Below are 14,077 nucleotides of genomic sequence, written 5' to 3'. Positions count from 1 at the left end.
GAAAAATACAAAATATAATATCTTCAAATTATGATTGGGAAAAGACTATTTCTTTTGAGTCAAATTATGGTTTGAAAAACATTTATGTTCTTAAAATGATCATTATGAATTTTGAAATGGTGTTCTATGTTTCTTGTTTTATGAAATTTGGAAAACCAATGGCCATTTCCTCCCCCGTCCCCACTATGGCTTCATGATTTCATTAACTTTGGTCCTTTCCTAGTCTTCATTTCATTTTGAGATGTGAAAGTATAATCTTTGGAACTCATTCTCATATCCAAATTAATTCTCATGAATCTCAGACTATTGTCCTTCTTTGGACCACTTCTAGCTCCTTTTTGTCATTCTTGACATATTTTAATCACTACATTCTTTTTCATTTACATGTACCAAGTGTATTTTCTATTTTACTTCTGACATTTACATCACTTCACTGGTCCATTTAACTATAGTACAGACCTTAGAAAAAAATTATACTGATTGTGAACCATTTTTTATTCACTTTGCAAAGCTTTTGGGGGTTTTCTTTGCTTAATTTTCATATTTTTCTGTGCTTAAGTTCTCCACTTTTTTTTTTTAACTTGCCTAGACTCTTCGCTTCGCCTCAATTAACTTGCCATTTCACTCCAGAAAATATTAGGTTCATCTTATTATTTGGTCCTTTTCTTTCTAAATGATTTATTCTTATCATTCTTGTCCCAGTAAAAGGAATTAGGATATACCCAAAGATTTAGCTACACAGATATTCATTGAAGTATCATTTATAAAACCAAATATATGGAAACAATTGGTTGTCCAAAAATAGGAGAGTGAATTATCAATTGTAGTACCTCACACAATGAAATATTTTATAACCTTCAAATGGAATACAATCATATTTATAAGTATATAAATGTATCTAGTAGAACAAGCAGATTAATAAATCATTATATAGGGTATGATCTTATTTTATGGTAGGGTAACTAGGGAAAGTTGTATTCTCTTTTTTACATATTCTATTTTATCTGTATAACCTAATTTATTGATATAGTGCCTTAAGCTCTTCCATCAAAATCTTGATCTATAAGCTTGTCAGATAGAAAGATGCCCATCTCTGTGTGGTGATGCATGAGAAAGAAGCACAATTTTAACTCCTAGAGTATTGAAGAAAAATGCAGATATCTTTACTGAAACTTTTTTCCAAGTATACAGAGGGATTAATGGAAAATTGCATCTCACAACATTCAGCAAACTCCCTTAACTTTTTACACAGCAAAACTTCCTATAAGTTGTTTTACCACTTGATCTTCCCCATATCTCACACCAAGTAGTAGCTACCCCACTTTCTCTTTTCTTTTTCCCAAAGTCCTCCAAAACATCTCTATTTATTAGTTTGTATTTTTTCTAAATTTCTTCTTTCTTTCCAGTTGCTTTTTCACCAAGTAAATCAATCCAAATATATTATCCTCTTTCTGGCTTCCCTACTTATATTTCCATATATTCTGATAGATTAACAGCCAAACAAAAGATCCCCCTTAAAATTATGGCAGAAAGGGAATGGGGACATTGGATAAATTGCATAGATTTTTCAATATTTATATTATGCTTTACTAATGGTCTTTCCATTACATTATACTTTGAGGTTAATAACATAGTTTTAGTCCCAATTACATCTGCTATAAATATCTTTTACCTTTACAATTAGTAAAAATGAAAAGATGAATCCTAGCAGAAATGCCCTGGCAGATCTCACTATCACAATTGCTCCATTAAATATGCCCATCATTTCTAGCTTTTGCCCCTTTGCTTTGGATTCACGACAAAGCCTGGTTTGACCAATATATTTTATTTGTCATGGGGGTAACAACTGGAGAGTTTCCACTTACTCTTCAAAGTTTTGACCTTACTCATTGTCAAGGGTTGCTAAACCTGAATGCCTGCTTTCATTTGCAGCCAGGGACTATGGGAATCCCAAAACTCCACAGACAATATGAAGCTCATTCACTTGCATTGCATGCAGTGCAAGTGGGCCAGTTTCAGAAAACATACCCACAGGCACTTCATCACTTACAGGGTGGGCACCACTTAGTGTAGGATCACATCCAAAACCCAAAAGCCAAAGCCAAAAGAATGCATAATGAACGGGAATAAAGAGCGTTTAACAAAACAGCAATCACAAGCCTCATCAAGCTTCCCAAGACATTTTACAAACCACCATCAAAAACTCATTGTTTCCAAACATCTCTTTAATAATCCTGACTTCCTAACAATTCTGGAGAGGAAAAAAAAATTGGTAGCATGTGTTTCAATGGCATCACCACATATCTGATGAAGAGCAGACAGAGCAGGAAGTAGAAATAAAACTTAAATCCTACCAAACCCCAACTTTCAAACACATGTACTGCAAAAGCTACTGTTCCATGCAAACCAGCACTGACATATTCTTTATTTTCTATTTGAGGATTTTATATTTTAACTGACATAGTCTACAGTTTTTTAATTCTCTCACAACCTGTACTTCTCGTAAGTTTACAAATCTTGAAAAAAATGTAGCTGTAAAATCAGGGCCACAAAAAATCGAAATCTACGTTTTCATATCCAAGAAGGCATTTATGCCAATGTTTTGCATAAAACCCTTAGAAAACATAACAAGAAGGAAAAGAGGGCAGGAGTTTATAGTCGGCTTGTCATTTCTAATTAGCACCAATTCCCTTAACTATTTCATTCATGCTTTCCAAGATAAGTGCTTTTACATGGGGAGCATGCCTTAAAGAAAGAACATGGGCTTTTAGCAATCACCCCGTGGAAATAGGACCTTCACAATAGGTGCAATTTTTGATACATTAAATAAAAGTCTTCATTACAGTCATCTGAAAGGAAAAGATGTTACCCTTTACTCTATCCTGCATGTAAAAGACATTACAACAAAGAAATAAAGTTGCCATTCAAGAGTTCACAATTTGACAGTGTCAATAAATCTTATTAAAATTCTTTTTATGATTCTTCATTTGTCTTGTAATTTGACAGAATTAGGGACTAAGTTTTTGACTGTACAGCTCAAGGCACACAAAGAACTTTCAGTAGCATAGAATATTTAACTACATAAAGCAAAAAAAAAAAAAAAGAAAAGAAAAGAAATACATTCTCTGTAGGTCTGAATGGTTTCTTATCACATTTATGATAAAATCTAAACTCATTCATTCCCACGGCCTATAAGGAAATAATTGATCTGACATCTCCTGTTATCACACCTTCAGACTTACTGACTCTATTCCACACACAAGGGTCTTCTTGTCCTTGAACCAACCAAAAATATCCCCCCACAGGCCCTTAGCACTCACTTGCTTCCTAAAAGGGTCTGTCCTCAGAGTTTTGCATGGATGTCTCCTTGATCCCATGTTGCCATTCAGGTGTCAAGTCACTTGCCCTCTATACAAAAAGACCTTCCCTGATCTCCTTATCTAAATTCAACACTCATCCCTTACTTCCTGGCAGATATCATTTTTTATTATGTCATAGCAGTCATCACTCTCCGTAATAATCTCATTTATAGTTTTTTCTTGTTTATTGTCAAGATTCCTCCTCCTTTCTTGGTAATATAAGCTCCATGAGAAGAAGAGCACTACATTTCTAGAGTCCAATAAATACTTGCAGACTACAAGAGAGAAGTTGAAGAAATTTAAGAGAAGGGCTGGTTCATTGGCTGACCCAGATAGAATCTACTCTACCTTAGAAGTAGGATAGCTGGGTGGAGGGATGACTTTGGCACAAATGCATAATAGAGAGCTAACATTTCATCTCCATGTGACGCACAGCAGGGAGGAGAGTGCTTTCTCTAGGCATTTAGCACTAGACATGGTTCTGACACAAATGCCTTTCTTTCCTGGGCTTTGTTTGAAGACTTTGAATGAGGCAACCCCTAGGTGGGAAAGGTCTCAAGAAGGCAGCTGTTCCTGAAACTGCCCTTTTTCTCTTTTCACCTTTTCTCCCCCTGGTTCTGCACACTATAACTGTGATCCTTGGAAGCTCGGAAGGCCGTGGTCCCCATGCCAGCTAGTCTTTATGAGTGTAAAGGGTTCTCTTGTTAATCCTTACTGAAGTGTAGAAAATGCCTTTTCTTTTTCCTATACGTCAGCCAAGCAACTTGTATTAAATATCTCGGTGAGAGCAAAACCCAGGAATGAATTTACCGATTTTATTTTAAGTTGATTTGGCAGGTAAGGCTTATACGCACTTATTCAAGTAAACTTCCCTTGTATTCATCCTGTCTGAAGTGGGAGAAAATGGATGTCATAGTTGTAGCAGAATCTTCAGAGCTTTAGTTGCAGCAGAATCTTTCAGACCTTCAGAGCTTTAAACAAATTTAGGTTGTTACTACTCTGGGGCATTGATTCAAGGACAGTCAGACAATCAACAAATAATAGAGCACCAACTATGCACTAAACATCGCCCTAATACTGCACGATCACAGAATTTAGGGGAGATATAACTGATTTTTAATAAATTAATCATCTTAAAGAGTAAAAGAGAAAATATTACTATCTTTATAGATGCTAAAACATCATTTATGAAAATTCATTCTACATTCTTAGTTTTTAAAAATAAATCACTTAAGAAATAGAAATTCACAGCTATTCTAATACAAAAAAAGTTTTGGAGTCGGTAAGATTTTAACTTCTAAATGATTTTTACGTTTTAAAAACTTAACCATTATGACAACTTTGAGAGGTCACTTTTTTTTGTTTGTTTGTTTTCTCATTAAAATGTTGACTCTAAGACTAACAGAGGTTAGGACACCCAAGTCAGGGGCAGTGGCTCTTGCCTATAATCCCAGCACTTTGGGAGGCCGAGGTGGGTGGATCTTTTGAGCCCAGTAGTTTGGGACCAGCTTCAGCAACATGAAGAAAGCCTATCTGTATGAAAAATTAAAAAAAAAAAAAAAAGCCAGGCCTGTTGGCTCATGCTTGTGATCTCAGTTACTGAAGAGGCTGAGGTGGGAGGATTGCTTGACCCTGGGAGGTGGAGGCTGCACTGAGCCAAGATTGTGCCACTGCACTTAACCTCAGTGATGGAGTGAACCCTGTCTCAAAAATAATAATAATAATAAAAAAAGACACCCAAAGCCACAAAGTTACCAAGTCAAGAACAAGAACACAAAGCAATGTCTATTTGACTCCAAAATAAATGGTCTTTGGATTCATCATGTTGCCCACACGGTCAAAAGAAGAACAAGATCATTTATATTATACTTCATTTAACTTCTTCCCAGAGAGCTATGACACGTAAGGCCAGAGTCAAGCATCCAGCTGAACATATGCATGATATTTTGGAAAAACTGAAATATTATAAGGATTGACTTGGCATAGGGCTATTGTATTAACTCTACTCAAAAGTGATCTCAAGGTAAAAGTCACATTGTGTTAATGGTGTAAAGGATCAATGTTTAGTTGAGCCAATATAGCAGAGACCACTGGTTGCTGAGCTAATTTCAGGTTCTCGTCTTCATCTGGGTGAGCATCTAGATTCCATGTCATAGTCTCCTTTGCAGTTAGCGGTGGCTGTGTACCTGAGAGCCACGAATGGAAAGGGAAAAGTGTTATGTACAGTTTCCAGGTATAACCCATACAGATCTCTTAGATGCTTCTGTGTGTTCATTTCCCTGCACAGCTGGCCAAAATGCAGATAACCTCCAAAGACACATGATGAAGGTATCAGAGTCTCTATCAGCCTGGACTCCTTCTTCCCCCAAATGACAACGCGAAAGGAAACCTCCCAAAGCCATTCGCCTACTTACTACAATGACTGATAAATAAATCTTCTCTTGGAGCTATTTTACAACAGTGGTTGGCCCACATTAACAAACAAGATTTCATCATACTTATTGAACTATACTAATAGCTAATAATTTCCCCATGCTTTGGACTCAGCCTCTGTAGCCCATTAACGTCTTTCCTTATCACCTTTGGCACTTCTGTTTATGGCTTTCTGTTTCTGGACATTTTTCCCTAACCCCAGAGAAGAGATTTCATAGCCCTCTAAGCTCTTCTCTTTTGGGTTTCAGAAGCATGGAACAAATTAATCTTATGAACTCTTACTTGAGCCAATGCCAGGAGAACTTTATCACACTAGGCCCCCCAAAAGACCTGCCCTTGGCCCTGAATGCATTCCTCAATCTTGTTTTGCTTTCCTGAGAAATCTTTGGTAGGAATTTTTATATACTTCAGGTGTGAATAGTGTTTCATCTCTAGTATTGCCAAACTGAGACCTGCCTTGGCACAGTAGGCACTCAATAAATATTTCTCCAACATTATCTATCCTTCAGGCCTTTGAGAGGATTGGGCTAGAATCTCAATGCTCTAATTTTGCGTATCAGAACAACATTATGCCCAAAGTAAAACTAAAAAGCAAAATCTCTAAATGCATTGCTGCCTCACCAAACAGAAGTCCAAATTCAATTCAATTCTTTCTTAATCAAGCTGAAAAATCCCATAGAGGAAATTCAGAAGGTTCGTAGGATGTCTTCCATCTCTTAGTAAGATAAAGTGGGCCCAGACACATGGCCATTTTTCAGCACATATATGGAATACAAGCTGTATGATATCTTGAGTGTGCCCAAATTGGTTTGCCTGAAAGCAGCAAGAATGCCTTAGCTTGTGCTTGCTCTCCTTCAGGAAAATAAAAAGAAATATGACTGCTTGCCCTTGCCTAATTCCAAGTGAGTGAAGGACACTGTAAGACATTAAAATATTATCTAAAAGCATAATAGATATATAAGCATTAGGCATTAGCTTGTATCTTCATTGTTTGAACCCTGCATCATTACTGCTAATGTTTAGGTTTATACATTCTCCTATGGAAGGGTGTTGTTTTGTTTTTGTAGCTCTGTGTGCTCTCACTCCACTTGAATTTAGTTATTTGTTTGTAACCAAAGAGGCCCCTCAGCTGAAAGCAACTGCAATTACGCAGCCAGTTCTCGTTCTTCCAGCGCTTTGTGAGCACACAAAGCTGGACCTTGGAATCAACTTTTACAACACGTTCCTTTTCTTTCCTGACTCCACAATCCCTCTGAATGTATTCAGAATATAAAGAGTCTAATCATTAGCACTTTTTTCTTTTCAGGGATTTAAAATACCTACAAGCTGAAGTTGTGCCTATAGAGAATGCTCCCTCTCTACTTCCATCTCTCATAGTTTATTCTTTCTCAAAAGAGAGAAGCAATTTGCCTGAATATATCGCCATTTCACCAAATAAAACCAACACCATCCAATCAATATAACTTCTCTTGAGCAAACAAAATAGAAATGGGACTCATGAAAGAAATACATTGACATTTACATCCATGGCCATACTTTTCAGTAGCTGCTCACCTAATCTATTCACTTAGCAGCATTCTCAGATACTAAAATTTTTGTATTGAGATGCACAATATGACAATCAAATCATAGGTCAAAACAGTAAGCTTTTTACAACATAATAGCATCTCAGTAGGACACATGTTTCTGTGAAGGGATTCGCCACATTGCAGAAACAAATGGGATGGAATGGCCTCATATATAACATCAGAGAGCAAGAGTTTGTAATACCTGTCAGACTGTCTTTCTTGTCTGATAGCTCCATCAGATAAAATCATATATGCATTATACTATATGTCAGTGGTGTGCAATACAAATATAACATAAGTCACATATGTTATGTTACATTTTTACTAGCCACGTGAAAAAATTTAAAAAGGTGAAATCAATTTCAATACTATATTTTACCCAATAGATTCAAAATACAATTATTTCAACATGTACTCAATATTGTTATATTTTTTAATGAGCTATTTTACATCCTTTTAACCTACTAAAGCTTTTCTGTTTTTTTCGTCTTTTTATGAGATAAGGTCTCACTGTGTCACCCAGGCTGGAGTGCAGTGGCAGTATCACGGCTTACTGCAGCTTTGATCTCTGGGGCTCAAGTGATCCTCCCCACTCAGCCTCCTGAGTAGCTGACACTACAGGCATTCACCACCATGGCTGGCTAATCTTTTATTCCTACCAAGTCTTCAAAACCTGTTGTGAATCTGAGAAGTGTACATCTCCATTTGGACCGGCCATATTGCAAGTGCTAATGGCCACATGTGGCTAGTGGCTACCATATTGCACAGCCAAGGTCTGTACACTTTAGTTAATGTTTGGGCACAGAAACATCATGTATGGCCTTCCTGGAAGGCTCCCCACTACCATTTAATCGTTTACTTAGCCCTGTTCACAGTCAGAGCTCAGAATTCTGAATTCAACACATATGCATTGTCTATAATGTTCCAGGCAGTCTTCTAGGGGCAGGGGATAAGGAGTGGACAAAGCAAAGTTTCTGTCTATCATAGAGAAACACATTTAGAGAGGATGTTTACATCTTAGTGAGTATAAAGGCATAGTGAGTCCAAACATCATTTATCCCTAGAAGTCTGTCTTGATTCCTTGATAGGACGGCTTGCTCCATCATATCCTTTCACAGCACACACTCTTACTTCATAGGATTTTTCCTAGTTTAAATTAGGTGCTTAATATCTAACTTCCTTAAATGACAACAAGATTGATGTAGGTAAAGAGACAATATATCTTAATAAATGAACGTACCATCCCCAAACCTACCCAGTACAGTCAGTGCCTGGCACAGAGTAGGTGGATAAAAATACTTGTCGAATATAAGGACAGAATGAGAGAAGTAAGGAGGAGGTGAGAGACAGAGGGGGAAGGAAAGAAGGAAGGAAAGAAGGAAAGAAGAACGGGAAAAAATGTGCACTGGTGAAAGGTGAGACAATGCTCTGTAAATGTCAGCAATGTTCATTAGCTAAATGGCATAGCCAGCTGCCATAATTTACCACTCCCTTCCTTATTTATATGCAGCCTTTTCTGAATTCTTCCAAGCTCAATAGAACTGGTACTTCATACCTTGTATTTCATTTGCTCTTTTCCTGGATTTACTTCAACAATGTTTCAATTTGAACATGACCTAAAGATATGGATGAAGGGGCTATATATTTTACAGGCACTCCAGTAAATTTTGAAAACTCTTCTATCCAGTATATATTGCATCATACACATTCAAAAGATGCTGGCTGGGTTTCCCACTGTCATCTTGCCAAGAATTAACAAGGTGGGTATAAGCTGCCTAGACATAGTATTAATTACAGAGATATGCAGATATTTCCCTTTTATTGGCCTATTCACTCTTTACTGATCAGCGGACTATAAATTAGTGGAGAATCAGAAATTCTTTTGGGGGCCTGCAGTTTCATTTTTGTTGTTCATTTCTTCTAGCACACATTGTATACACAAATTGGGCATTTTCAAATTTATGTTTCAGTCAAGAACTTTGAAATATCATTCATATATATATATATACACACACACGCACACATATATATATACACACATATATATGGCTTTTGAATTTCTTTCCTCCAAAATCCATAATTTACTAATTCTTTCATGTATTTGATCACTCTATGGGTTCAGCTAAGTCCGCCAATGCTGAAATTGTTTGCAAGTCTGCTTTGCCACCCCGCCACCAACACACACACACAGCATCAATTCAAACTTATGGACCCTGATATTCACGAAAAGTCATGGAACCCCCCGGGGGATGTTCAGCTGCTTCTTCCTCTAGCGTTTTCAAAGTGTAGTCCAAGTATCGGCAGCACGGACACCACCTGGGAAATCCTTAGCAATACAAATTCTCAGGCCCTCTCCAGACATGCTGAATCAGAGAATCTGGGGGCGGGGCCTGCAATCTGTGTTTTCTGGAACCCTCCGTGGGATTCTGAACACACAGTGGAGTTTGAGAACCACTACCCTTAGAAGTGAATCAGCACAACGCACACTCACATTTTGGACGCTCAACACGTTCACATAATACAAAAACATATTTAGAGAGCATGTTTAAATCTTAGAATAATAAAAAATACATATAAACCCAAATCAAATTTACAAAGACTGGCACAAGTATTAAACAAAAAAGAACTCTTACAGCAAAAATCCGTCAAATTTCATCGTAAAAGGGAAAATAAGCCACTGGTGCTATTTTAAAATCTACAACATTTCTGAAGTGAAATTCCAAGTTGCCTTTCAGTTTTTGTTTACAGTATTTTTAGAGCTCCCTCTGCATGCTATGTTTTCTTTTAGACATACTGCCAACTTTTTGTATCTGTCATCTGGTTTTGAAAATGAGGTTTCTCACCATTTTTTTAAGCATTTCACCATTTCAGTTGTCACACTGATGCTTGGTACATCTGGAAGTTCCTGTGATACGATGGATTTAGAGCCTACATTTAGAAGCGTATCAAATAATTACCAACATTTAATTTCATGTTCCTTCAGAAAAAAAATCCATTAGAGGTTCTACAGCTCTTCTTCCATGCCATCCCCTAAATTAAATTTCATATTAAAAAAGCTAGATTCAAGGATTTCTCAGGCTTCACATTTTCAAATTTAAATTCAAAAAAGCAGAAAGGAACAATGTAGAAAGAAATGATTTATCCCAGGGGTTTGTTCTTTTTAACTAGAAGATAAACTGAAATTCAGGAGGGGAGGAGAAGAAGCAGAGGAGGCAGGCTGGCACCCTCATCTTATTTTGCTATGTGATTCCATATTGCTTTGGGGTTTCTATTTTAAGCACCAATCATTTATTTTTTTTTCCTCCAACACAAATGTGTTCTTGATGACTGGGATATTGTTTTAATTATTTTTAATAAAACTCATTTGACAGCCTTAAACTTTGATAATGTTTCTCCAAAAGGCTTCGATATTAAACAAAAGTATCCTCCCATTTCAAAACTGCAAGATGACTTCAGAAAGTTAATTAATGTCACTTTCAGAAGAATCAGGCTGTAAAGGCTGTTTGGGATGGTAGCAAAGAGCGTGAACTCAGGAGTCAAATGGCTTAGGTATGAATTCAGCCCTGTCACTTACTTGCTGGATGACCTTGAGCAGTTCCTTAAGCTCTGTGTGTCTGAGCTTTCTCATCTATAGAAAGCACATCAGAATTCATTTAGCTCTTGCGTTGTTGTTTGGGAGGATCAAATAAGGCAGTGCTTGTAAAGGGTCTAGCATGCAGCCTAATATGTAATATTAAGTATTTATTGACATCCTTTTATTGATAATATTTTAATAACTAGTTCATCTCTGAAATTATGCTTTATTCAATCATTTAAGTTAGGGACAAGTATTTTAATACTTTCCATCCTGGTGTTTGCTAATTTGCTATAAACTTGTCAAAATGAATGATGAGGTGATGAATAGACGGGTAAGTGGATGATCCCAACGCGATGTTAGTAGGGGGGCTTTCGTGGGAAGCTGGGAACATGAAGCACCACATTCCCCACAATTGGCCATTCCTACCCAAAAGTGCCCTCCACCTCCTCCTCCCATCCACACCCCGCGCCAACCAACATGAAACTACCCCCTAACATATAAACACATGGGCAAGCAGAAGAATTCTCACTGCTCATTTATCTGTGGGAAACAGGCAGCTCCCCACCAACTACTGCAAAAGCTTGCCCTTGCTTTTTTCAAGGCACAAAAGAATTTGAGGATACGGTTAGGCATCAAGTCAATGTTGTCATCACATCTTCTAAATTTTTCCTTTTAAATATACAGACATTTAGATAAAAATTTAATATAATACTATAGAAATATACTATAACAAATATTACAGTATGTAAATACATACATAACATATACATATAGATTCTTTCATATTTATATACATATACATATATACAGACATATATCTATGTAATTTATAAAAACAGTGTATGCTCATTGTAGAAAACATTTTGCATAGGTATATGATACCTGTGGCCATTTTATGTATATGTAGTAATACATGCACACACATGCACACACATACACATACATAAATGCGGTAGCCCACTATACTTATTTATTTGGGTTTATAGAGGTAGCAGTGATAACAATCCTCTCTTCTTCTTAGTTCTAAACTAATTAAAAAGCAGTCAAAAGCTGCAGAGTATTACTTGGGAAAGTCTGTGTCCCTCTCTTGCCGTAGAAAGGATGAAATTGCCATCCCCAGATGAGAAAGGCACAGGAACTAGCTCCACCCCTTTCCAGCCCATTGGTTACTCACTCCCAAGAGAGGAGGAGTAACTCATCTCACTGGTAGCCATGGGAAAAGGAAATGAACAAGGGAAGCATTCTCTCCAGCCATGGCATGGAGGCTGTCATTTTCTGTGTCTACCTGTGACTGAGTACCCCAGTTTAGTGGGAGGGGTAGAAGTTCAAGGGCTGACAAAGAATATTAGGAAGCTGCTAGTTTGATCTCCAGTATCTGGCTCTGTCTCTCTGCCAGTTTCTACCTCCAGTTAGAAAGAAAGTAGGGATATTCTTTACTCCTTTATATGTCATTTGTAAGACCCAAATTACTATTCTATAATTTGCTTTTGCGCCTGAATATATTGAGAATACTTTCCCTGCCAGGAAATATCCTTTCTTCTATAACATCATTTTAATGATCATTCAGCATTTCCATTGTTTGATGTTCCATAACTTATTGAACCATTGTCCTATACTCAATAATCAGGTTTTTGAAAAATTATTGTTAGTGTAAATAATACAAACAGATAGCATTCTTTGTATACTGTTCTGTTCATTTCCTGAGGATACATTTCTTAAAAAAAAGAAAAAGAAAAGGCTGGCTGGGTCAACATATATGCACATTTGAAATATTTGTTATATACACTTTGAAGTTGTCATCCAGAAAGTTTGTGTCATTTCTGCTTCCTCTAGAAGTAAATGAGAATACCTGTTTCCTTGTACCTTTCCTAGATTTAAGGAATGGAACTAAAATACTATGCCACATTTTCCTTACTATGATTTTATACACTTTAGCTAGTGGGAAGAGCTACCGTGCACCCTTTGTCTGGGAGGCAGTTTCTTTGCCGTTTGCCCAAGTGTGAAATGCCATATTTCCTTAAGTCAAGTTACCTACTCTCTTGACATTACAAATATTAGCATTTTAAAACCTGTTTTCAAATTAAGACAAAAGCAAACATCACTGCTAATGTACATTTGAGGAAGGAGGGGGAAGAAACCATGGAAACCAGCAGAGGAATTAAAATGGCAACTAAGAATTAGACACCGGAATAGAACCAGCAGTGGGCTAGATGAGGATTATAATTGGAACCAATTTGACAGGAATTATAAGGTGTTCCTTTGCATTTTCTGATTTTGTTTTTTTTTTCTTTTGGTCATGCTTTGAAGAAGCCGTGATAAATCTTACTTCCACTATACTTTTGCTCTCATAAAACTCCTTGAAAATACCACAGGCTGTCCAACTACACACAAACACAGCTCATTTAGGCCACAGGATGGCACTCTGGGTGCATCCAAGTGATGAGGTGCCACACTCCCCCTAGAAATAAGGCTCTCTACCCCTTGGGAGACTGAGAGACACCACTCACAGCCTCACTAAAAGCCCAGCACCTATCCCTCGGAGGTACAGTGACTAACGTTTTATCCACTCAGAATGCCCTGGGCTTCTCTCAGATGTGCTTCTCTCCACATGTCAAACACTGGCGAAGCTCTCCCTAGAACACCTGGCCTCTTGGCCTCCTCACTTCCTTGGAGGCTACACTTACGGAAAGCTACAATATTCCTGCTGCTTCAGGAACACAGCTATATTTCTGGGACAAATACATCGGAAAACGCAGCCATTTAACTGCTTGTGGCTCACATGGTAAAACTGCATTTCCACATTGTTGATGCTTCCAGATACTCAAAATAGCCATCCTGTTTTTCTTTAAATATAATTAATATTCCACTGTGTGGGAGTTAGGTTAACACGTGTTAAATGAAGTGGTATGTAAATTACATAGAAACATTGTTTTTTCCACATTTGGACAATTGAGTTTGTCACTATTATGATAGTTATTATCATTATTATAATTTGCCATTAAAATGTGATGTAAAAAGAGAAATATCTTTAAGCTTAAATGTAAAGACCTCTGATGTAATCATCATAACATTAGAAGAACACATAAAGGATGACATAAGTTCTTGGCTAAACAAGGTACACTTGACTTAATCTTTAGTAA

General features: G+C 37.1%; 1 protein-coding gene across 9 annotated transcripts in view; it reads right to left on the bottom strand.

Moving 5' to 3' along the window:
• Nucleotides 1-14,077, bottom strand: part of TENM2 (teneurin transmembrane protein 2) — a 1,285,129-nt gene that overhangs the window by 1,005,981 nt on the left and 265,071 nt on the right. The window lies entirely within an intron of this gene.

Source organism: Homo sapiens, chromosome 5, assembly GCF_000001405.40.
Source record: "Homo sapiens chromosome 5, GRCh38.p14 Primary Assembly".
Lineage (NCBI taxonomy): Eukaryota > Metazoa > Chordata > Mammalia > Primates > Hominidae > Homo > Homo sapiens.
This window is presented reverse-complemented; position numbering and strand designations above follow the sequence as displayed.